This window comes from Homo sapiens, chromosome 5 (genome assembly GCF_000001405.40).
Source record: "Homo sapiens chromosome 5, GRCh38.p14 Primary Assembly".
Classification (NCBI taxonomy): Eukaryota; Metazoa; Chordata; class Mammalia; order Primates; family Hominidae; genus Homo; species Homo sapiens.
In genome coordinates, this window is record NC_000005.10 from 127,343,024 (window position 1) to 127,369,270 (window position 26,247).

At 36.9% G+C, this 26,247-nt stretch overlaps 1 protein-coding gene across 6 annotated transcripts in view; it reads left to right on the top strand.

Annotated features, from left to right (window-relative positions):
- MEGF10 (multiple EGF like domains 10) overlaps positions 1-26,247 on the top strand; it is a 231,923-nt gene that overhangs the window by 113,724 nt on the left and 91,952 nt on the right. The window lies entirely within an intron of this gene.

Sequence of the window (26,247 nt, forward strand, 5' to 3'; positions counted from 1 at the left end):
CCCAGTGACTTTTCTGTACTCTTCACAGTTGGCACAAGTGAGGCAAGCTTGTAGATAGAGAAGGAACAAAAAATACATGATTCTTGTTTGTGTTTTCATAGTCTCTTTTTTTCTACCAAGTTTTGCTGCCAGACAGATAACATGGTCACCTTTCTTAACTGTTTCCAGTCACCAAGATAAATTAAACACAGGAATCAGTCATCATTTCAAATTAATTCTTGGTAGTTTACCTAGAAGGAAAACAAGGATGATTTAATGCAAATACCTGTATTTGAAACAAGTTTCTTTTATGTACTCAAGTAGCACCTTCAGGAGAGCAGGTCCTGTCTTCCCCTCCCTCCCCACCTCTGTTTCATCCTGCCCCACCCGCTCCTCCATGATAGACCCCACTGTAGATGGTCATTCTGGAGGCTTGACATGGAACTGCCAGCTGCCTCACCCTCTTTCCACAGCTTTCTGAGGTTTCCTGTGGGGACCTGACCGGCTGTCTTCGTTATCAAGTGTTAGTGACATGTCCTTTTGGTTCTTATCTTCCCCTCACCCACTCCTCCCACTTTCAGAGATCAGAACACTTCACAAATATTAAAAGTAGCTCTTCATTAGAAAATTGTCAGGGATATGTTTGGTGAAGAATGATCTTCTCAGGGCCAAGCATGGTGGCTCATGCCTGTAATCCCAGCACTTTGGGAGGCTAAGGTGGGAGGATCCGTTGAGCCCAGGCATTCGAGACCAGCATGGGCAACATAGGGAGACCCCGTCTCTTAAAAAAAAAAAGTCATCTTCTCTAGGCTCCAGAGACTTTACTGAAGAGTGGGCTGCCAGTTCAAAGTCAGCTATGATTGAGGAAGGGGAGCTGAGTGGCCTCCAGGAGCCAGGCTCACCTTGTGAAGGAGTCTATGGAATAGTGCCAGTCTCAGAACCATAAGGACAGCTTGTAGATGTCACCAGGATGGTGGTAGGACCATGCAGCTTAGTTTAACTTGTTTTGGGAGAAAAGCAGGTTTCTATTCTACTTGTCCATATAAAGGAAGTCATTGTTCCTTTATCGTAGTCATTTCCTCTTTCACAGGAAAAATCAGACTCAACACAGTAGATTCAATTCAATTGAATAAAACATGCATTGATTGACCTACAATGTAAAAACCAGTGAGCTAGACCCTAAAGATTATGTATGTATATATGAGCCAGACATACTTTCTGCCATCAAAGAGTTTTGCAGTCTAAGTATCTTTTTTAATGCATTTCAGACAACAACGAAGTCATGGTTAAATTTATTGTGTGCTTACTACATACCAGGTATATACATTATCTTATAAAATTTCTAAAACATTATGAGGCAGATATAATCGTACCCATGTTAAAGATGAGGAAAATGTGGCTTTGAGAAATTAAATAACTTTTTTATTCTGATCAATCGGTGATGAGTGGAGGAGGAGGATGCAGATATTTATGCTGAACAGAGAATGAGATGCTTTACCTAAATAAAATAACTGAAATTGGCAGAGTAGCTTATGAACCAAGGATTATCCAACTCCTGTCCATGTCACATGTTGTCAAGAAATTCTCAGCTGCATCTCATTACATGACTTCAAATATTTAAATAAAACATACGTATTAAATAATTTCGACTTGAAAAAAAAAGTTGAGAAAATTCTCCGTTCTCTATGTTCAATTCCATCTCTCTTTTTAAGGTGACTAAAATTAGTAAAAATCTCTTTTCTTTTGAAATTGGATTTTTAAAATGTTCTTGAAAACAAAGAACTTTAGAGAAATTAAGTAAATAGATCTTACACATGCGGTGATTCTGTCTACATCGACCAGAGGACTGATCGCTGACCTTACAGGTATCGTTAGTGGATATTCAGGATTGTTGTTACTGCTGCAGTTTCTAAACTTTTGGGAAATTTAGCAAGGCAGCCTAGTCAGGTGCTCCTGCCTTCTCTGTAGTGTCAAGGTTCCAGGGAAAAGGACAGTAGCTCAGAAAGATCCTGAAGATTTTAAGTTTCATATTAATACATTGAGGGCCAGAGCGTCCTGGAGTTAGTCTTTCATGTAGATTCACATGGAAACTGTCCCAGGACGAGGCTCTCATTTCATGTTTATGTGCAATAGAAGCAGCAGGTGGTCACTGAATGGCTCTTCATTCTGTCAGCTGTGGAGATTCTTGGAGAAAAAACTCTAGTTTTCTTGTATATAGAGCATGATGAAGAGACTGGCTCTGCTTCCGACTGGAATGAGCACACAGAACTTTTGGGGAGGCTGGTAAAATGCAGATTCTGATTCCATGGGTCCAGAGTGGGGCCCAAAGGTATGCATTTCTACTGAACCCTCAGGCTGTGTGGAACTCCTGGTCCACAGAGCAGACTTTGACTAACAAGGCTGTCTGTCCGAAAGACCAATGCATGTCATCAGGCAGGAAAGACCAGAGCAGAGAGTGTGGGCAACAGTGTGGTTAGAAGCCTTTTCTTAGAATGTGATTAGAAAAAAAGAAAGGATTGGAAATTTTTTAATTAAAATATTACTAGGACAGGAAGAAATCTGTGATTCCTTGTGGTGGTTTTACTCTGTTTATAAATTTAATTAGACTCTAAATTTGTTCATCCTTTAAGATTAATATTCTTGCCTGATCTGTGGTAAGAATTTAGACATGTTTCATTATTTTTGATTTGGAGATTTTTCTTTTATTTCAATTGTTTTTTAAGGAACAGGTAGTGTTTGGTTATATCAATAAGTTCTTTATTGGCGAATTCTGAGATTTTGGTGCACCCATCAACCGAGTAATGTACACTGTACCCAACGTCTAGTCTTTTATCCTTCACCCACCTCCCACGCTTTCCCTTAAGTCCCCAAAGCCTATCGTATCATTCGTATGCCTTTGCATCCTCATGGCTTAGCTCCTACTTAATAAGACAGAATATACAGTGTTTGGTTTTCCATTCCTGAGTGACTTCACTTAGAATAACGGTTCCCAATTCCATCCAGGTGCTGCAAATGTCATTATTTAATTCCTTTTTATGGATGAGTAGCATTCCATGGTGTGTATGTATGTATGTATGTATTTGTCACATTTTCTTTACTTGTTGATTGATGGGCATTTCGGCTTGTTCCTTAATTTTGCAATTGCGAATTGTGTTGCTATAAACATGCATGTGCAAGTATCTTTTTCGTATAATGACTTCTTTTCCTCTGCTAGATACCCAATAGTGGGATTGCTGAATCAAATGGTAGATCTACTTTTAGTTCTTTAAGGAATCTCCACACCGTTTTCCATAGTGGTTGTACTAGTTTATGTTCCCACCAACAGTGTAGAAGTGTTCCTTTTTCGCCACATCCACACCGACATCTATTATTTTTGAATTTTTTAATTATGGCCATTCTTGCAGGAGTAAGGCGGTATCATATTATGGTTTTGATTTGCATTTCCCTGATCATTAGTGCTGTTGAGCATTTTTTCATATGTTTGTTGGCCATTTATATATCTTCTTTTGAGAATTGTCTATTTATGTCCTTAGCCCACTTTTTGATGGGATTGTTTGTTTGTTTTTTCTTGCTGATTTGTTTGAGCTCCTCGTAGATTCTGAATATTAGTCCTTTGTCAGATGTATAGATTGTGAAGATTTTCTCCCACTCTGTGGGTTATCTGTTTACTGTGGTGATTATTTCTTTTGCTGTGCAGAAGCTTTTTAGTTTAATTAAGTCCCATCTATTTATCTTTGTTTTTGTTGCATTTGCTTTTGCGTTCTTGGTCATAATAATTTGGAGAATTTTAAGTACAGGTTGAGTATCCAAAATGCTTGAGACCAGAAGTGTTTCAGATTTTGGATTTTTTTGAGTTTAGGAATATTTTCACATCCATAATGAGATATTCTGGGGATGGAACTCAAGTCTAAGCATGAAATTAATTTATATTTTATATATATCTTATACATACAGCTTAAAGGTATTTTTATACAACATTTTAAATAATTTTGTGTATGGAACAAGATTTTGACTGTTTTGCCTATGACAGGAGCTCAGGAATGAAATTTTCCACTTGTGGCTTCATGTCAGTACTCAAAATATTTTCAGATTTTGGAGCATTTTGGCTTTTGGGTTTTTGCATTAGGGATGCTCCACCTGCATTAATAAAGAAATCCTCAGAGAAATGAAATTGAGAAATGTCCAGAGGAATGAAATAGTTGTAATATATGTGTGTGTGTACATATACATATGTGTACTTGTATATATGTGTTTGTGTTGTGTGTATACATATATATTGTATGTTTTTTAATGTCACATAACTGCCTCTTATAAAATTGCTATTTATTTAAATCTCAGTTCTTGTACCTAAATAAATATTGATCCAAACACATTCCAATATATTTTCATTAACACATATCAGTTTTTATAATAAATATTTATGTATTCGAGAGACTTCTGTGGTTCTTCATGGGATGGCTTAGAGTTAACCAACACTTTTTTGTTATATACATTAATCCTAATGCATGTATAGGAACTATAGTTATGTTAGGGAGTTAGAGAAGCAAGAAGTATGATTAGTTTAAATGTTTATGGTTGAGAAATCACTGGATACTATTCTCTGCTTTCAACATATAACCATCATTTGACTGTAAATTCAAATATGGACATCCTAAGTGGAGTGCACATGACCAATGTATAGTTTTCCAAGGAAAACTGTTATATTTATTATCTCTCCCTTTTGGCCTCCAATAAAAAAAAGTTCAGTTCAGATTGTTAACATAGAATGGAGAAAACACATGAATTAAACCTAGGTTCAAATCCCAAAGCTACCCTGCATGTGTAATGTCCCTGGGACACAACATCCTTGATTTCTGTGAACCTCACTTCTTAATCTGTAAGATGGGTTCTCATGCCTATTAATCATGTAGGGTTGCTGTTAGGATCTAGTAAGATATATTAAAGTGTTTTGAAAAATGCAAAAGACTTGCATGTACAGTATTAACTAACTGAAAGTGATGGTTCTGGACTTGATTTTAGTAATATTTGTGATGTTTGGATTTCAATTAGAAGATAAGAATTCTTCTGCTGTAGCTCTAAAGTTGAGTAAATATTAAGCCATAAGATTTTCATGAGGTTTAAAGTAATTCTCATGGCAATTCTTTATCACGAATATCAAACTGACTTGCTAAACTATGCACCATGATCCATTTGCTTATATCCATGTGCTTATGACTACTGTGATTAGAGATAATAAATATGATCAAATCTTCCTTTCTAGTCATATAAAATGTATTGTCTTTTACTTTTCTCTCAGCAGAAGAGTGTCCCTGAAATGAAAAAGCCTGCCTTCTTTTTCTGATTCTAGCTTTGTAACACATGTAGCTATTTTAAAATGGAAATGCAATCAAATTTAAATGTAGAATTATTTTTATATCAAAAATACTTTTTTGATTTTTTTATCTCAAACTACAAAGGCAATGAATTTTTCATACAATAAGCCAGGTCACCCAAATATGCTAACTACTATTCAGTATTTGTTAAACGTGAAGTTTGTGTGCTTCTATATGTGTAGGTGGGTGCATATGTGCACACACGTATATGCAATATGAAAAAGCCTATTCAGAGATTTACTTTGTTTTTAATAATTAGTATTTGATTTACTATAGTTATAAATCCAAAAACATAGTTGCTTCTTAAGCAAAATTCAGCTGGCAGATGTTTCATTCATTGGTCTAACAAATTTAACAAACACATTAAGAAGCCTTTGACTAATGTTTTATAAACTTAAACACCTTCAAATTTTTAAAATGGAATTCGTACATTTAATAGATTTGATTTTCATTTTAAATAATTCAGCTTCCAGGCTGACAAACCTTCCCATATACTTAAATAATTTTTGTAAATCTAATAAGCCCAACTTACAAATAAGGTGAAATCTTATGAACTCTAAAATGTTAAAATATAGGCTGGATGCGGTGGCTCACGCCTGTAATTCCAGCGCTTTGAAAGGTGACAAGAGCGAGAATCCATCTCAAAAAAAAATTTGTATTAGTAAGATTAAACTTTAAAATAACATTTTAAAATCAATTATTCCAGTATACATTTAAAGAATAAAATTAGTAAGCTGACCTTTTATTCTACGGACCACATTCTCTTAAATATTATAAATGTCCTCTTAAAACTAAAAATATGAACGCTATAGATTTTGATTCTCTCTCACATTTCTGTGCTTAACTGAAAATCTTCACAAGGTTGAAAGATAGTTACCTTCTAAGCATCACCTCATAATTTTTGGTTTAATTTTTAATATAAGTTTGGTAGTCTCTTCAATTCATTGAATTTCTTGATATTTATTTTTATACGGTAAAAACACATGACATTAAATTTACCATTTTAACTATTTTTAAGTGTACCATTCAGCAGTATTAAATATAGTCCCATTTTTGTGCAACATATCTTTAGAACATTTTTGTCTTGCAAAACAGAAACTCTAGACTCATTAAACACTAACTACCCCTACCCACCTCCAGCCCTTGGCAACCACCTTTCTACTTTATGTTTTTATGATTTTGACTACTTTAAGTCCTTCATATAAGTGGAATCAGACTTCGTCCTTTCATGACTGGCTTATTTCACTTACCGTAACCATAATGTCCTTGAGGTCCAGCCATATCGTAGCAGCATGGGACAGGACTTCCTTTTTTTTTTTGTTTTTTTTAGGCTACACAATATTTTTTCTGAAGATTTTAAATATCAGAGAACATGGTCCTTGACTACTACCTTGATGGATCATACTGAACCTACCACCTGTTCTAGATGGCGTACCCAGTATTCATTCAATGTAAGACATATTATTTCCTAGTACTAGTTTCAAATTAGATTAGAACTCTCAATCCAGTTGGCTACTCTGATTGATTAAATTTTTGTGCATATCTTTGGTCATTGAGATATGTAAATATTTTTGGCCTAAGTACCATGATAACTGACAGAATTATGTATTCTTTTAATATAATTCTTATATGAAAATCTTATAAGATGTGTGGTCCTTTATTTCTTGTAAATGTTAAAATGATATCCCATTGCATTTTCCAAATTTCACGGCTATGTTTGGAAGTGAAATCACAACCTCTAAGGTCATCTTGTTCACTCTCTTCCACTTTGCCTTTGGGCTCATCTCACATATAGTCTGAAGTTACACCAGTGACACTGGTGTAGCTCTTTCTCCAGGGTGTTAATTTCATCTGCAGTATCAGCAATCTCTAGACACTTCCCATTTCTTTGTCCCCACCTTTCAGCCTGCCCAAGGCTCCAGATAGTTCTCTAATTTAGAATTTTGACCTTGTTCCTAAGATAAAAATTTGTATAACTCAAGTTGTCTTGAATATTGTGTGTCCCAAGCTTGTCTGTTAATGTCTGTTCCCTCCCAATTGCTGTGCCTGTCTTGCTTCACTTTCTCCTTCTTTTCTCCCTGCCCCTTCCTGCCCTCCATTCCTTTTTTCTTCCTTCCTTGGTTCTCTTCCTCCTTTTGTCTCTCCTCCATTTTTTCCCCTTCTTCTCTCCTTCCTTTCTAAGCAGCAGGCACACCGAAGACTGAAGGATGAGTAAATCACTGTTGATGTTCTTCAGGGCTCAGTCTGTACTAAACAGAAGGAATGAAATACAAACTGTGGAAGGAAGGGAAAGACCCCTGGGCCCTTCCCTTCTCAACTGTGCTACACTGTTTATCAGAAGTAAAACACCTAGGCCACTTCAAAAAAGACATAAATTTGTTGTATATATATTTTTTTCATTGATTTTTAAAAAAATTTTGAAGTTGTAGTTTTTGTGGATACATAGTAGGTGTATATATTTATGGAGTGTATGGGATATTTTGACACAGGCATACAATATGTAATAATCACATCCGGGTAAATGGGGTGTTCATCACCTCAAGCATTTATTATTTGTGTTGAAAACAATTCAATTATACTCATGGGGGTAGAGAGTAGAATGATGGTTACCAGAGGATGGGAAGGATAGTGGGGGTGGGGTAGGGGGAAAATGGGGATGGTTAATGGGTAGAAAAAAATAGAATGAATAGGATCTAGTGTTTGATAGCACAACAGGGTGATTATAGTCAGTAATAATTTAATTGTACTTTAAAAAATAACTAAAAGAGTAAATTGGATTTTTTGTTGTATATATTTTTTAATTACCTAAAATTATTTTTCATACTGAAGCTATTTTTTTATCTGTGTAAAAAACTGGAAAACAGATGAGCAAAAAGAGAAAATAAATCATTCATAGTCCTGCCATTTTTGTTTGTATCTTTCCGGATATATTTCCATTTCTTTAAATTCAATATAAATTTGTAGGTTATGCCATGCATATTTTTTGTAAGCTGCTTTGTTCATTTGTATTATATTGTAGACATATTTTCTTGTCTATCAATTACATCTAAATAATAATCTTATAATTACATTTTACTATATTAATATATACTAACGTTAGGCACACGTAGTTTTGCGGCTACAGGGAGCATCATTTTATTTATCCCTTTGCATGTGTGAGTGATTCATACAATAAATTATTTTAAGTGGAATTTCTGGAATGAGAGGTATGCATACTGTATCATTTAGAATTAGATTTGGCTATGTAGTGCCTAGAAGTAGGCAAGCCAGCAGGGGACTCAAGCAGTTTTTACCCTTCTGCTCCACCATCTCTTTGTCACATGCTCTCGCCAAGCTACAAGGGCATCTTTATTCTGCCACTCCTGTAACTTCACACTACACATGGAATGAGCCCAAAGGCAAGGTGGAAGAGAGTGAACAAGATGACCTTAGAGGTCATGATTTCACTTCCAAACATAGCCATGAGACTTGCAAAGTGCAATGGGACATCATTTTAACATTTACAAAGGTATGGTCTTCATTTCCATGTACCATTATTGACCTCCACACATCAACAGACGGAATAGGTGGGAGAAAGAGGCAAATGGCAATGCCAACTGTTTCCTAAGGAAGGTTCCTAGCAGTGATCATGTTCCTTTTATATCCCACTGGTCACTTGGTCTCACCAAGCTGCAAATGCATCTTTAGTCTGTGTGGTCAGAGGCCCAGTAAAAATATATATAAATATATATATTTCTCTGGGAAGGGTAAAATGGATATTGGGAGACAGGAATAATCTTAGCCACATCTTAATGCATTTTGAGACACATTGCCAAATTGCTGTCCAGACAGGTTGTAACAACTTACATGACCACCAGTAATGTATGAGGGTACCCACTTCCTTACATTTCTGCTGACCTAGGTATTATTATTGCTTTCAACCTTTTGGGTGAAAAATGGTACCTAGCTTTATTTTGCATTTCCTAATCATTAATAATGCTGTTCACTTTAAAAACTTATGTTTATTGCTGGGCATGGTGGCTCACTCCTGTAATCCTAGCATTTTGGGAGGCCGAGGCAGGCAGATCACCTGAGGTCAGGAGTTCGAGACTAGCCTGGCCAACATGGCGAAACCTCGTCTTTACTAAAATACAAAAATTAGCTGGGCGTGGTGATGCACACCTATAATCCCAGTTACTTGGGAGGCCGACACAGGAGAATCGCTTGAACCCAGGAGGTGGAGGTTGCAGTGAGCCGGAGCCGAGATGGCGACATTGCACTTCAGCCTGGGCGACAGAGTGAGACTGTCTCAAAAAGAAAGACAAAAAAAAAAGCGTTTATTTACCATTTGTATTTTGGCTTTAGGGCCAGGACCAGGGTGGGAGATACAGTGAGACTGCCTTGTTCTTCAGAGAGCCATAAGAACAATGAATAGAAGCAACAGGGGACAGTGGCAAATGAAAGAGAAACAGGTTGATTTGGGGGCTGATAAAGAAGACAGTTTGAGAGAGAGACTTTACTAACATATGCCCCAGAGAGGTCAGTTCCCATGGATGTGCCCAGCAGCAGCAGCAGGAGGCCCAGGCCCTTCCTAGCTCTTGCACTCATCGACATCACGGATGCTCATTCTCTCCTCACCCCATAGTTCCATTAGGCCTCCTTTCCCAAGACCTCAACTGTCTGCAGTTTGCAGGGATGATCTGGAGCCAGGGAAATCTCTTGTCTTCTCCTACTACCTACCTCTCCCATGAGCATTGTGGATAGAGGAATGATCTCTGATTTCTGGCAGTGAGGTAAGCTCTTGGCAGTCCAAACTGATATGTGAATGGCTTGACCTATGGAAAGGAGAGAGACTCGTGATCCCCACATACTGTGGTTCATTCAGGCACATGCTGGAATAAATGAACAACTATTGAGGTTGCCCTAGGGACCTAACCATTATTTACAACATTATAACTCCAAGAAAATTTACACAACTGGTTTCCAAACACATCTTTGAAACCCGACCTCTTAGCATGTTGGGGACTGCTTATAGATTTAGTGACATGGGACTTGGAAAAGCTCACAGGAAAAGCAGCAGAAGAGCAGAGTGGGAAGTTGGCAGCTACCCTCTGTGGGAAGGATTGGTTAATCCAGAGAGAAGGCTGGCCATACATTCTCAGTCGGATGTTCTTGGCTTCATCTCCACTGATGGCAGAGAAAGCGAATCATTGTAAGCAGCGCTGCTTGCAGCAGAATCGTGAATGGACAAAGGAGATGGCCAGGGGTCCCTTCTCCAGTCCAGCTCCCATTCTCTTTGCCCCACATGCCTTGTCTTCTCCTGCTGGATACTGCTGTAAAGGAAGGGACTGTTCTGATGATTATTTTCTTTGGGGTAGACTTAAGTCTGCTAACTCTGTTTTTGTTAGATGGAGAAAGTCAAATGGTAACTCAAAGTTCAAGTTCTAATGGGGGCGTCCAGGCAAGTGTGGCTTGTAAGAAGGACAGAGGGAAGAGGTTTGGGGACTGGGTAACTCACTTTATTGCCTGGCAGGCCAGCTCTGATGGTGAGAGATCAGTTCCCATGGATGTGTCCTGCCTGTCGTTGGCACTGGTTAAGAGAACTTTGGAACCGTAAATAAGAAGCCTTAACTCCCACACACTGAACTGTGTATGATTTCCTGTTCTTAACAGAAAGGAGTGTGACAATTGATTACCAGAGCAGTGAATGAATATTCACAGCTGATTTTTAACTTGGCCAACTTCATGTAAAACTGAACCGGCTGTGGGCAGATAAGGAGCTGGAACTGTGGTTGGTGTCTATATGAAAAATAGTTCTGTAGATGAACTTTACTCTTGTTTGAATGTCATGCTTCAGAAAACAATGGGTTTTAAGCCCAAATTTTGAGGCGAGGGCTTAAAAAACACCTGCAGTTCACTAACCCAGGACTCTTTTCCTTCCAGGAGGCAGATATGCTACACAGGTGGCACTTTGGGAGTCACAATAACTGTTTGCCATATAATACGTTTTCCTTTATTTCTTCTTTTTAAAATTGGAATATTATGTTATTTTAGACTGGAATTAACAAAAAGCTTTCTTTTGGGAAAGGGAGTGCTACCTCTTGGAAGTGGCTGCCTGGAACATTGTGTTTAGAAGGATTCTGAGGCTGTGTCTGGGCTAAGAGAGAAAGAGCAAAGTGACTCACTAGTGATTTCTGCCACGGGATTGGAGTGGCAGTGGGTGGCCCGAGTGCGCCTCATTTGCCATCCCTGTATTTGACTGCATAGTATCCTGTGGCATTCTGGAATCATGGAGATAGCAACCGAGGCTCCTGAATCACACACCTGGCTAAAGGCTCCTGTTATACCTACCTCTGTCATTTAAGTGAGAAGTTATATTTACTGTTCTTGCTATTGTCCCCAGAAAAAAATTACCTTCCTTTGTGAGCTGGAATATTTGACATGCTTAACTCGGGATCATATTGTCAACAGTTTTGTGTTGGGGATGGGAAAGGATTTTCAATGGCTATGTTTTGCCTCAGTGTCAGCCACAGGGGGGTCTGATTAGGAGAGGGATTGGCAGGCTTGAGCAAATTGGGCACGGCTTCTGGGAAGAGCTGAACTGAAGATAGTTTCTTTCCCTACCTTACAATTATGTGAGGACACATTTAATTATTTATCCTGGCTTTGTATCATTTTGGTCTTTTCCTGCTGAAAAGTTTAGGGCCCAGATTCTTTAGGCTGAGAGGAGCTGCAGTGCAGGGAAGATGCCTTGTTTTGGGGTGAGAAGAGTTAGCCTTCGGCAGAGGTCTGTTTAGGGGAAAGCTAGGCTCCTTGGGTGGATTTGGGGAAGCAAAAGGAGAGCTTCAGGAAAGGAGGAGTACCTCTTATTGGAGTTTGAGGCAGACAGAGCCTTCTGTTTTGGATTTGTTTGATTCTCTCAGGCTTGTTTAATGATAAAATTGTGATCTTGTCAAATATTAAAAAAAAAACCATAGTCTTTTGATCCATTTAAGCAGATCCTTTCGAGTAGAGATAAAAGTGAGACAATCCTGTTAAGCTAGTCAAAGAGAGCCTGACTGACAACAATCAGATGGTATGTTCCCAAATATACCTACCCATGATGCCCTCCCTGCCACCGGCATTGAATTTTTTTCCTGTTTCCATAGGGACCCTGTACTCTGTTGCTATGGTGTCCGACGTGGTTCAGAGGAACCTACCAGTAAATACAGGGGAAGGCCTTTTGTCCACATACCGTGCCAGCAGAAATTCCAATTTTCCCACACATCTATCGGAACCTAAACTTCTGCTTTCCAGTTTGGGTCGTTGGTCTCTGCTAGCAGGGAAGATAGGAAATCTAATAAATAACAAGAAACCTTTGTTGCTTTACTGATTGACAATGCTTGCTCAGTGTTTAGGATTTTATAAATAGAAACTAAGAATTTAATTTTTAAAAAATCCACTATAAATTCAAGATAGCCTCAATCTAAACAGAAGGAGATCATATCTGCTGCCTATTTTTTTTTTTCTTGAGAAAGCCTGACTTTAGAGTCCCATGGAGACAGGGTCAAAAGGAAATAATGAAAAAATCCTTGCCTTATCTCTAGAAAATTAGTTCCTGAAATTGCAGTCTTTGCAGGACAGGTAGGATTTTTACAGGCCTAATAATTTATGCAATCCCCTTGCAGGGATAGAAAATGGCTAAAATAAAAGCCAAGAACTGAGAAGCAATTTTTATTGTACTATGGTTCAAATCTTTTCAGGGCAAAGTAATTTAAAAATAATGGAAAAAACACAGTTTGATCTAAGTGACCAACCACAAAACATTGACATGACCAGGTGGTGACAGAACTTGCATGTTTTTAGTCTGGTATAGCGCCGGCCAGCGCTTTTACAGATAATCCAGTGGTAAACCTAGTGCATCCATCTGGGCCACACACAAGAGATGCTAAAGGAGGGAGAGATTGATGCGCTGGTAGAATCAATGCTGCACTGACATTCTTCTTTCCTTTGGTTGTAGTAGTAGCCCAAGGTCCAGACCTATATTGCTTATTGATAACCAATTCTAAAAAAGGCTGGAAAAAAATCAGAGAGCTCCAAGAGAGTTAAGACAGAGAAACTCAGACTTCTTGATTCAAGTGACAGAAGGCAGCATTAGCTCAAGGTGGGCCTCCCTGACCGGCTGGCCACGTTGGAAGGGCAAAAGTGGTTATGGCAAGTTTAAAGATATGGCCATCAAAGTAATGTAGATTTAAGCTAAAAAACAATAGCTAAGTTAATTTATTGTACTTAGCATGAAATTGAGGGACATAAAAGGAAATATGCCACCATGAATGAAACATACATGTTGATCCAGGGAGGAGAATAGGTTTCCAGAAACTTGGATCCTAGGCATTATCTGTAGTTGAATCCCTCTAGTGTGAGATATGGAATACTCATCCTGCAGAATTCACTGTTGCATTATCCAGTTAGTTTGGGAAATGCAGTATGTTGGATCCCATTTCTTGAAGATTTGCTTCAGCCTATTAAAGGCTCTGGGAATGCCTGCAGTAAAGGCATGTCTCAAACTTTTTTGACCATGGAATTCCTTACTCCCTATACCCTCTTCCCTTTTCTTTCCCCAAGAACATAAGGGAAGAAATAGTTCTCTGGATCTACTTACTTGGAAAACACTGCTTTGAGGGATTTTGTTTTCTGTAAACATACACTGGGTAATTTTAAATATTTATAATTTATTTGAGACTCTTTGGACCTGTAATTTCTTCTAAGGACAATTATATTATCTGTTCTAACAACTCAAGAAAGGGAAAGCTTTAGTTGAAGCTGGAAGGCTATAATAGATACTTCCTTACCTTTGCTATGGCATGGAGGAGATGCGTATTTTACTGCCTCATTGATGGGGACAACTTCTTCTAGACCTCTCCCCCAAATTTTGAACTATTATCAACAGAGGTATTTTATGACAAACAGTTGTTCACCAAAAGTAGAGCTGTCAATAAATATGCATATAAAGTGGCTCCTGATGTGAAATTCAAAATAACTACATGATCGGTTAATAGGGTAGAGAGAAAGAAAAGAATCAAAATAGCTATATAAATGATAGATCGGGCAGCTGATACAGGGTCAAAAAAGTGAAATGAAGACAAAAGGGAGACTGAGGTGGGAGGATCACTTCAGCCTGGGAGGTAGAGGTTACAGTGAGCTGAGATTGTGCCACTGCACTCCAGGATAGGTGACAGAACAAGACCCTGCCTCAAAATAAATAAATAAATAAATAAATAAATAAATAAATAAATAAAATTTAAAAACAGGAGAAAGAAAAAAAAAAGTGACCCATCTAAGAACTTAAAATCCCTTTATTCTGTGTTCTTTTAGGACCATCACTTAGCAGGGGCTGGATGATCTGATGCATAATTGTAGGGGTTTTAGGGCCCATACAATTTTATATTTTAAACAATTTTAACTTAAAACTTGAGACTTTCATCTTCCATGGAAAAATCAGGCTATTGGTAACACTGGCTTGATATTCCTATGTGGCAACAGACAAGAAACTGAAGGAAAGCATCCCACTTTGGATGAGCAAGTGCTCCCTGAATTTCCCCAGGTCTAACCTGATTTGTAATAGTTCTTTAATTTATCCATGTGGCCTCTGAAGGCATTTGAGTTTGTGTTCCCTGGTTTTGGGGCATTCTCATAGCAAAGGTTCTGCTGCCAGCTTTCTCTTGAAACTGTAGCACTTCTCCTTTTGAAGAAATTCTAACTGCTTGATTTATACATTTGAATTAAGACTTTCATACCGAAATGCAAAGGTTCCTGACAAGGGAAATAATCTCAGCTGTTGTTATTAGTCATTGACTCCATTTATTCTCAAGCTGGTGTAGACAGGGAAAGAGAGTGGAAAGAACATGAGGGCACCAGAGTTCTAGAGGAAATGTCCAGGGACCACCACTAAGGAGGGAGAAGGGGCAAAAGAAACTGAGTGGGAAAAGTGGTACTCTAATTATGACTTCCACTGCCCTATTAACTTTCTCTAGGGCTGGCCTTTATTATTCATATGTGATTCAGATGTATTGGATAACCGGAAGCAAAATGACAGCAAGATGAAATAGGGCAGACCAGGGGAAATGCCATGTGGTGGAAAACATGCTGTGGGAAACAATATTTGTAAAAGAATTTATGGCTCCATAGAGAGTGGTCAGGGCAAGAGAAATGCCATTCTAAAAACAGAAGAGCCTGGGATGGCACTTCCTGTGCATAGAAGCGTCATGCTTTCCTTATAGACACAGACATGGCAGGACCAGCTGGTAAATAATTTGTCCCAAATGAAGGTACCTTCCTTCTGATTTCTTCCCTAAACAATATGCTGACGATTTTGAAATCCTTCTCAAATTGAATCAATTTGCAGTTGTATCATCAGACCTGTTGTAGGTTCAGTTGTTAGGAATTTGTGCTCAGGAAAACTAGAGTTTATTCCAGTGCTGGTTAACATTTTGATGTTTTAGTCCATTAAGGTCATGTTACTTACGTTACTTAAATCTGACTCAACCTATAGAGACACACTGTGAGAGTTGTGGCCAGAATAGATAATGCCTATGTAAGTGTGGAATTAAGCTAAAAACTCTTTCTGTTTTCAAATAAATGAATAGGATTATGTGCCCCACAGATGGTATTTCAATCCCTTGTGTGGGATCCATTACAACAGACTATTTCAACACAAGCTGTTTTGTTTTTTTTTTTTTCTGTATGAGTCAATTACTTTGTAGAGGAAAAGCTTAGTAGAACATCACATTGTCATTTTTTAGTATTAGCAGTTCCCCAAATAAATATTTATTGGGAGGGTCTAAAGCCAATACCTTCATAGGCATTTAAAGAGCTCTACCCTCCAGTGATGACAGACTCTTAGTTAAATTGAATAGTATGTACATAGAGGATTTGAGTGTTAGCTCAGATTTTTTTTTTTCTCTATGGAGAGAGGGCTCTTTGCCTTTCTGTAAAAGTTCTCCTCTTACTCTAGGGTTTTTTTTTGTTGTTTAAACAGCTTCATGGAGGTAAAATTGACATACAATAAGCTGCACATTTTAAAAGGTACAATTTGATAAATATTGACATATGTACACAACCCTTAAACCCTCACCTCAATTATGATAGTGAACCTATACATCACATACAAATGTTTCCTCATACCCTTTTGTAATTTCTCCTATCCACCCCTCCCTGCTCAGGCAACCATTGATCAGCTTTCTGTCACTCTAGATTGCTTCGTATTTTCTAGAGCTTTATATAAGTGGACTCATAGAGTATTCTCGCTTTTATATCTGATTTCTTTTACTCATCATAATCATTTTGAGATTTATGACATTGCCCTATGCACTGTTAGCTCATTCCTTTTTATTGCTGAGTAGGATTCTATTGTATAGCTATACCACAATTTATACTTTCATGTACTTAGCACATTTGGATTTTTTCCAGTTTTTGACAATTACACATAAAACTTCTCTGAAAACTTATGTACACATCTTTGTATGGGCATACATATGCTTTCATTTCTCTTGGGTAATACCTGGAGTTGGATGGCTGAACCACTTGGTAGTTGATACAGAAGTGTTCAGAGATACTTTATTTGAAATAGCCAAAATCTGGAAATGTTTGGTATTGCTTTGAATCTATACAACTATTGGAGGAGAATCGATATCTTATTAATAGAGTCATCTGACTCACAAACAAGTGCTGTCTCACTATTTAAGATAATGTGTATATTGTGCTGTTGTTGGGTAAAGTGTTCTATAAATGTCAAATAGATCAAATTGATTGACAGCTTTTTTCAATTCTTCTTTACTTTCTCTCAACAATGTTGTTTGTTTTTAGTGTACAGGTCCTTCACATCTTTGGCTTGATTTGTCCTTAAGTATTTCATATTTTTTGAGGTTATTGTAAATGGCTATTCAATTTCTGATTGTTGCTAATATATAGAAATATAATTGAGGTTTTGCGTAGTGACTTTTATCTGTAATTTTGTTAAGTGCTCTTTTTTTAGTAGTTTTTTTGTAAATTCCATTAGATTTTCTAAATACATATATTTACATAGTCTGTAAATTAAGGCAGTTTTACTTCTTCCTTCCTAATCTATATAAGCTTTATTTCTTTTCCTTGCCTTATTACACTTGCTAGAACCCCCAGTATCATGCTGAATAGAAATTGTAAGAGCAAGAATCCTTGTTCTGTTGTTAATCTTAGAGGAAAGCATTTCATTCTTTTACCATTGACTATGTTAGTAGTAGGTTTTACATATTTGCCCTTTATCAGGTTGAGGAAACGCCCTTCTGTTTCTAGTTTGCAGAAATTTTTTGTTAGGAATAAATACATTTTTCTAAATGCTTGCTAAATGCAGGCATCTTTTGAAATAACCATATATGTGATTATTGTATCATTCAGGTCTACTTAGGTTATATATATGTATATGAAGGAACTATATATATAGGTTATATATATATGTATGAAGGAACATATATATGTGTGTATATATATGTGTGTGTATATATATATATATGTTGGAACAAACCTCACATGGTCATAAAGTTTAATCCTTTTACATATTGTTGGATTTAATTCACTAAAATTTTGTTTAGAATCTTTGCACCTATGTGAGTGATACTTGTTTGTAGTTTGTTTCTTTCTTACTGCAAATGTCTCTGGTTTTAGTGTTAAGGTAATTTTGGCCTCACAGTTGGGAAGCTGGGAAGTAGTCTCTGGCCTTCAATTTTCTGGAATAAGTTTTTTTTAGAATTGGTATTATTTCCTCTTTTAATTCTTGGTATAATTCATCATTGAAACCATCTGGAATTGGAGGTTTTTTAAAATGGGAAAGCTTTTAACTATAATTTAATTGCTTTAAAATATATAGGTCCATTCAGGTTATTTATTTCTACTTGAATAAGCTTTAGCAGTTTCTTCATTTCATCTAGGTTATCAAATTTATTGGCATAAAGTTTTTATTAACATTTACCTGTAAAAAAATCTATAGATTTTATGGCGATATCACTTCTCTCATTTCTAATACCAGTAATTTGTGTCTTCTCTCTTTTTTTCCTGGTAAGTATAGTTAGAAGTTGATCCGTTTTGCTGATCTTCTCAAAGAACTAGGTTTTACTTTTGTTGATTTTCTCTTTTGCTTTTCTGTTTTTTATTTTATTGATTTCAGCTTTGATTTTTATTATTTCTTTTACTCCCCCTTTCACTGGGGTTTAATTTGATCTTTGTTTTCTAGTTTCTTAAGGTGGAAGCTGAGATAATTTCAGAGTTTTCTTCTTTCATAATGTAGGCATTTGGTGCTATAAAATTTCCTCTATGTGCTGCTTTAAGAGCATTTGACAATTTTGACATGTTGTGATTTTGTTTTCATTTACTTTAAAATACTTTCTGATTAATATATCTTTTGATTTCTTCATTGACTTTGAGTTATTTAGAAGTATGTTATTCAGTTCCAAATATTTAGAAGGATTTTCCAGATATCTTGCTGTTACTGATTTCTAACTAAATTTCCTTATGGTTAGAAAACTGCTTTGCATGCGTTGAATCTTTTAAAATTGATTGAGATTTGTTTTATTTCATAGAATATAACTTGATTATTGTTCTGTATGTTCTTGAAAAGCAAATATATTCTGCTGTTATTGGGTGGAGCGTACTATAAATATTAATTACATCAAGTTGGTTTTTAGTTTCAAATCTACTATATCTTTTCTTATTTTCTTTTTAATAGTTCTATCAATTATTAAGACTAGTTATTCAAATCTCCTGCTTTAATTGTATCTATTTCTCATTGCAGTTTTTGAAACTGTTATTAGATGCATAAATGTTTAGGATTATTATTTCATTATAATGAATTGAACATGTTATCATTATAAAGTGACCTTCATTATCTCTAATAATAGTCTTTGTTCTGGAATCTTCATTTGATATTAATATAGCTACTCCAGCTTTCTTTTGATTAGCGTTAGTATGGTTTTTTTTTTTTTTTACATACCTTTACTTAAAAAAAAATTATTATTTTTTTTTTTTGAGACGGAGTCTTGCTCTGTCACCCAGACTGGAGTTCAGTGGCGCGATCTCGGCTCACTGCAAGCTCCGCCTCCCAGGTTCACGCCATTCTCCTGCCTCCCGAGTAGCTGGGACTACAGGCGCCTGCCACCACGCCCGGCTAATTTTTTTGTATTTTTAGTAGAGATGAGGTTTCACCGTGTTTGCCAGGATGGTCTCCATCTCCTGACCTCGTGATCCGCCCGCCTCAGCCTCCCAAAGTGCTGGGATTACAGGCGTGACCCACCGCACCCGGCCAAATATTTGCGTTTTTATCAAGTGTGTTTCTTGTACTTATAAGCAGCATATTGTTAGGTCTTACATTTTTAATCCAATCTGTTAATATCTGTCTTTTAATTTAGATATTAGACCATTTATGGTTAATATGATTATTGATGTAGTTAGATTTGATTTCTTCTTGTCCTGTTTTTTGTTCTCATTTTTCTCTTTTATACTTTTACTTTAAGTTGAATATTTTTTATAATTCTATTTTATCTTCTTCATTGGCTTACTAGCTATAACTGTTAGTTGTATTGTTTTTGTGGTTGTTTTGGGGTTTATAGTATCCACATTTAACTGTTCTCACATTGTAATTTGAGGCAAAATGATGCTTCAGGGAGAGAATGAGGTATGTATCTAATGGCCAGATTTCTAATTCCCCTCATATCTTTTGGTCATCCCACTTGCACTAGGTCGTGACACCTTTACTTAAAATGTATGGCAGAAGTTCTGAGTTCTTGTATCTCCTCCTTATATAGATGGGTCTTCCATTTTTCTGCTAGTATAGATTTTTATTTAATTTAGTAACTGACTCACCTGAAAGATCGTTCAAAAGAGCAGTGTATTAGTTACAAATCATGTTTTACTGCAATAAATAGAGATTTGAAAAATAGAAACATATACATAATAAGGATCCTTATGTCATGATAAGTCTGGAAGTGGGTGGTTTATGGCACTTATTTATCCATGCAAAGAATTCAGAGTGAAGGGTTCCATGATTCTCTTGGTCCTTCCCTCAGAGTTGCCTGGTGCTTTTTGCAGATTCAGCCATGTCTTCACACCGGGCAGCAGGAAGGAGAAAGAGAAGGGGAGTCGCACTTACCACCTGAATCTGTCTCTTGAAACTGTTTTCCACATAGGCATTTCAATCTAGAAAGAGGGACAATAAATGTAGTTTATTGCTGACGTCACTGCTGGCCCTGGTACAAGTAAGATTCTGTTAATAAAGGTTGAAGGTTAGACATTGGGTGTACAATTGGCAATGTCTGCCAAAGATACTGCCAGTAATAGCTCTTTGTACTTGCCCTTAAATGACACGAAAGCCCTATAAGGAATGGAGAGAAAAGACTTATAGATACAAAGTTTTTGTATTATTATTATTACATTTACTAAGTGCAAACATCTAGGTTCCTAGCATTCTCAAGCTCTTTCCACCACTGATCAGCCATTTATGGACATCACACATGTGGACCACTGGTGGCTGTGGGGTAAGAGCCCTTGACCCCAAGTAAAACGTTATGGAACTTCAGGGATGGGATGCAAGGAAAAAAGTGTGTGAAGCAGCTGTTTTTGGGCACTCCTCCCTGCAACATTATTTCAAAGATATCCACTTTTTCAGCTCAGATGTTTTATCTTTCATGAGATCCCCTTGATCTCACCCCAGTTGGAATTAACTGCTTCCACAGTCCCCACAGTATTGTTATAACAGTTTTGTTGAGATGTAATTCACATACCATACAATTCAACCATTTAAAGTGTACAATTCAACCATTTTTAGTATATTCACAAAGTTGTACAGCCATCACATAATCAAGTTTTGAACATTTTCATCATCTCAATACAACCCCTGTACCTACTACCCATCAATCCACGTTAACCCACAGCCCTAGACAACCAACTAATATCCTGTCTATCCATATGGAATTGTCCATTTGGACATTTCAAATAAATTGAGTCATTCAATATGCTCTCACAGTATTTTTCTGAAACCTCTCTTATTATCCCTGGATTCTACTCTGCATTTATTGAGTTTGATGGATCTACATCAGATTTCCTTTACAGACTAAGAGTTCCCAGTCTGCCATCTTAATATACACAGTAGTGCCTATCAGTGTACCTAGTGCATCAGTACATATTAAACTGAAGAAAAAGAGAATTCCCTTTCCTTTTTATAAGCAAACACAATAGGGTAGGCTGCAATATAATGTTTGGAAATATGAAAGCAAAACGATTCCTGTGCACTTTGTAATTTTGTAAGGACTTTGCATGTAATTGTCCTCAGATAAAAGTGTGGGGAAGATAAAGTATATCTTGGAAGTCAACTCTCTGTTTGCTTCTTTCTCCTTCCTCCTTCGAATCTTCTGACTCCTGACTCCTGGCCATCTAGTACACCTGCCATGGTATCTGACCCAGAACACCCTCTATCATCCTTTTCACCCCTACTCCCTCTCACTCCCATTAAAATCCATCTTATGTTTTGGTCCACTGGGAGTCAGGGACCAGGGTTTAATCCTATTTCTGTCTTTAATACCAACTATGAATATTGGGGAAATTACCCATTTTCCTGATCTGTTTTCTTGTCTGAAAAATGTAGGAATGATGCTCAGTAAAGGCACCTTTAACTCTAAAACTCTATATTCCTCTGTAGCAACTCACTGAATAAATGAGAGAAAATAAGATTTGTGACTTACACTCTTTGCTCATAGCGTCAGAATAAAAGGAACTTCTGGTGACAGATAGGTTAGCTGGAAGGTTTGTGTTTCTGTTGGATAATTGTTCCTTTAAAAAACTATTTTGATTCTGAAAACATTTTCCATATTAATTTAAATAAATATATTCTTTAAGACAATGGTATATACTCTCTTTAGAGATATAATTGATTTATAAAGAAGGCTTTAGTCTTTCTACTCCTCCTTTCACTTTTTTGCCATCCCTAGGTGAAAATCCAAAGGGAATTGTATGTGGCAGAAGAAAAACTATTGAGTATAGTTAATGGCTCTCAGTATTAAAGCCAAGTATTTACAAGTAAAAGGAATGAGGTCCATGTCATTGGTAATGGGATTTAAATGGATTTAGGAACTGAGACTGAAACAGGAGCCTAATTAGAGAAGATTCCAGGGTCATCATGTCAGTGCCCACCTGTCCATCAGGCAGACAGACTGTCCACAGCTTTCATTTCAAAGACATGGCCTGTTCTTCTCATCAGTGTCTCTTGCCTCCTAGTTCTTGAGGGAAAAGACGTCTTGGCTGCCCTGTGCAGCTTGCTGTGTCTGAAGGAGCATACTGAGAGTAGGTTGAGATTCAGCTTATATCTGGCCTCTAAAAAAGATCTGGACTCAGAATATGATCTTTAATGATTTTCTTAAAGATCGGTGCAGAAAAGAAATCATATTGGATAGATTATCTTTGCTTGTTATTCTAGTTTTAATTGCCCTTTTAAAAAAAGAAGAAAGGACATGGGTAGGGAATAAAATATCTATTCCCATTCATGGGACAACCACACTTATAATGGGTCCTTTGTACCTATTCTTTATATCTCTGCTACTGAACATCTGCTAAGTGGACCTCTGTTCCCTTTTTTCTTTTCTAGTTCATTTTGGGGTTTTCTACATGAACAATTAATGTCTTTAGCCTATATTGGTTTTTCATGTGGAGCATGTTAGTTATAGAAGCAGCACCCAGAGTAGGTGGCATTTGAAGCTGAATAGGGGAGGTAAGACCAAGGTAGTAATTGAGCTCAGCTAATCTCTTGGTGGTGGTGTGGGCGTCTGTGTCATGAATGTGCCATAGTCAGTGTTTCTGCACCTTGGTGAGTTGGGACATCAGAGAATAAAGAGAGTTCTATAGCTTACTCTGCCTTCCTCTGTTGCTTCCCTTTGCTCTTTTCCATCTTTGACGAGGTTTGTTGCTGGATGTGGAGAGCCCAGAGATGGTGGAAAAGGGCATGCAGCAGAGATGGCACTTGTATAAGCGAGTCTAATGTGTGAAGATTCTCCATCATGGAAGTAGGATTTTGTGTTCTTTCCTTTTAGACTCCATCCCAACAATATTTCTCATCATTTAGATCATTATTTGCCTTTAGGCATCAATGCTCAGAGGTGATTCCATTGGCTTTAGCTTTAATTAAGAAAAAAGAAATCATTAGGGAAGCAGATTCCCCCTTCCAATTCCTAATTAACTTACAGGCAAATTTGTTTTCTGCTAATGACGCATCCACATTTTGTTTCAGACTTTGGCCAAATGTTAGCTCAAGGTTTTCATAAATGTAATCCATATTTTAAAATTACCATCACGGATTTTTTTAAAAAATTATTACAATTGACTGAACTTCTTGGAATTCATTTCATAAAACACAAAGTTTGCACTATCAGGAATCACGCATGAGAACATTGTGTGATTATCTAGCAATCTCAAAGCATTCTGAAGCAGGTCTCCTTTGATTCTGAACTTAGAAATTTACTTATTATCTTTTTTGGAGTTAACAAAATAAAAGCAACAAAAAACCAATGGATTGGGATCCAACCATATGCAATTCTGATTCTTACTTCTCTGGAACATATGCTTAACTTGTCATGCATTTATTTACCCAATCTAATAAGTTATCTTGATATTAGAGCAGGGTGCTAGGCTGGCTTGCTCAATCTTACCTTTCTTACCAGTTGATTCAGGTGGAACTCAATTGGTGTCATCCTGGAGTTAAGAGTCAACACAACTACAATTAAAACCAAAGTTTAATCTCCAGCTTCTATGGTGTATATCAAATAAGTAGTGTGTGGAAGAGAAAGACGAGTGGTAAAAAGTGAAAATGAAGATAAAAAGTGAAAAAAATGAAAGGATAGAGAAGAAAGGGAGAGCAGTGAATTGAGACCTGTCCATAGAATACTGGAAATATTCTCCCCTCATAGCCAGCTTCTTGCTAGATGAATACAAAACTCTAGGTTGCTCTGATGGAATCCAGCTTTTTGAGTACCCAGAAGTTTTCAAATTCTCAAATGGTAATATTAATCCTTTTGTCAAATAAAATCTTACATAGATGCCCAAGATATAAAAACAATTTAAGTAGTATTAATATAAATTTACCATATAAATGAACATTTATAACATTTCTTTAGTATGAAGTTAATTGGTGAGAACTACACTATTAAACACAAAAGTCTGAAATTCAAGAATATGGAGAATACTTCCTTTCATCAGCCACCACATTCAATTTCTGTGTTTTGGTTTAAATGCACGGTGTCAAAGAAGTCTTGTTTCACTTTAAAGGCAAAGAGTATCTAATTTTTAAAACTTCTGGAAATATTCAAACAGAATTTTAGTAGCTTTACTATGTTGAAGAAGGAGAATTGGTAAACTTGGGTCTGAAGGCTATTCACTGTAATAGCTGCAAACATAGATGCCATCAGTACCTAAGACAAGTGGGAGGCAAAACCCTCTCGTGTTGACATATTTACAGTTGGTGCCAGAGCTCTCACTGGTGGGAGAGTCTCCTGTACCCATGCTGCCATTTAACACAGTGTGAGATAGCATCCAGAGCATACCCTGCACTGTTAGACCCAAGCCTACTGTGACATTTAGTTGAACTTCCCACACTCAAGTATGGTAGTTTGCTGGCTTTAGGTATGTACATATCTAAATTTTAACAAAAGACCAGTACCTTGTGCTTACAAATGAATGACATCTACAAGTTCAAACACATACCTACAGGTGGAAGCAGACACTGAACCCTGAAGTTGGCACATACTGACTTAACTTGGCAGCAAAAATCAAAATAGTGCAGGGCCAGTGTGTTCATATGTTACAGGCAAGTTCTGCTTTTAATTGCAATGAAATATGTAATTGTCTGACTCAAATATTATGAGGTTGCTAAGCACTTCCTTCAAACTCTAGTACCAGAAAACTCTACCCTGGACCAGGGTCCCAAGGTCACCAGTCCTGGTATTCCTCACTAAATCGCCTAGGTGCTAAAGAGTTGTTCTGATGATAGCAAGAGAGCTTGTGTTTTCCAAAATTTATGGCCACTTTATTTCATTGTGGTGTCCTCTCCCTGTTGGTTTCTTATAACAAATGTATACTTTTCATTAAACTGTTCCTAGCGAATTCTCACAATAAAGCCCCAACACCTTAATTTGTTTTTCAGGGTCTCTCTCTCTACCTTGCAAAGCTATTGCCCCAAACACTGCACCCAACAGAACTTATTTCATTTGTTTCTCTTTTTACCTGTTGCTTTTGCTTTCTCTTCACCTAAAATGCCCTCCCTTATATATCTTCATCTCTAAATCTTATGATCAAGACCTTAGAAGTAGTCATTTTTGGTTCAGCAATATATGCACTGTGAGTGTGTGCACACGTGTGTATATACATATATACACACATATTAAATATACACCTTAGTGCATAAATCACATATATTAATATTAATGACATGGAAATATTACTGCCATTATATTAAGTGGAAAAAGCACATTGAAAAATATGATTCTATTTTTTTGAGGAGAAAAATATGTAGGAAAAAAATTTCTGAAGGTTCTACATCCACAAAAATGTTACCAGTTTGAGCTACTGGAGATAAGGCTTATTTTACTTTTTGGTGTTTTATATATTTGAGCAGTAAGTCTTTTGTAATAAGACATACACTAATAAAATGCATCTCTAAAGTACAGAGCACCTCATCCCACCCTTAAATAAAATTTTAGAATATCCGAACCCCAAACCCTTTAAGTCGTTCTCACAATTATGTATATATCCAGATATTTTAAAGAATGTTTAACTGATGTGCATGGTACTAAGGTTGATGATAATGATTTGGCACAGCATATTTTAATGCCTATTTTGGAAATCATCAGACTGTCCATTCACTCATGTTTGC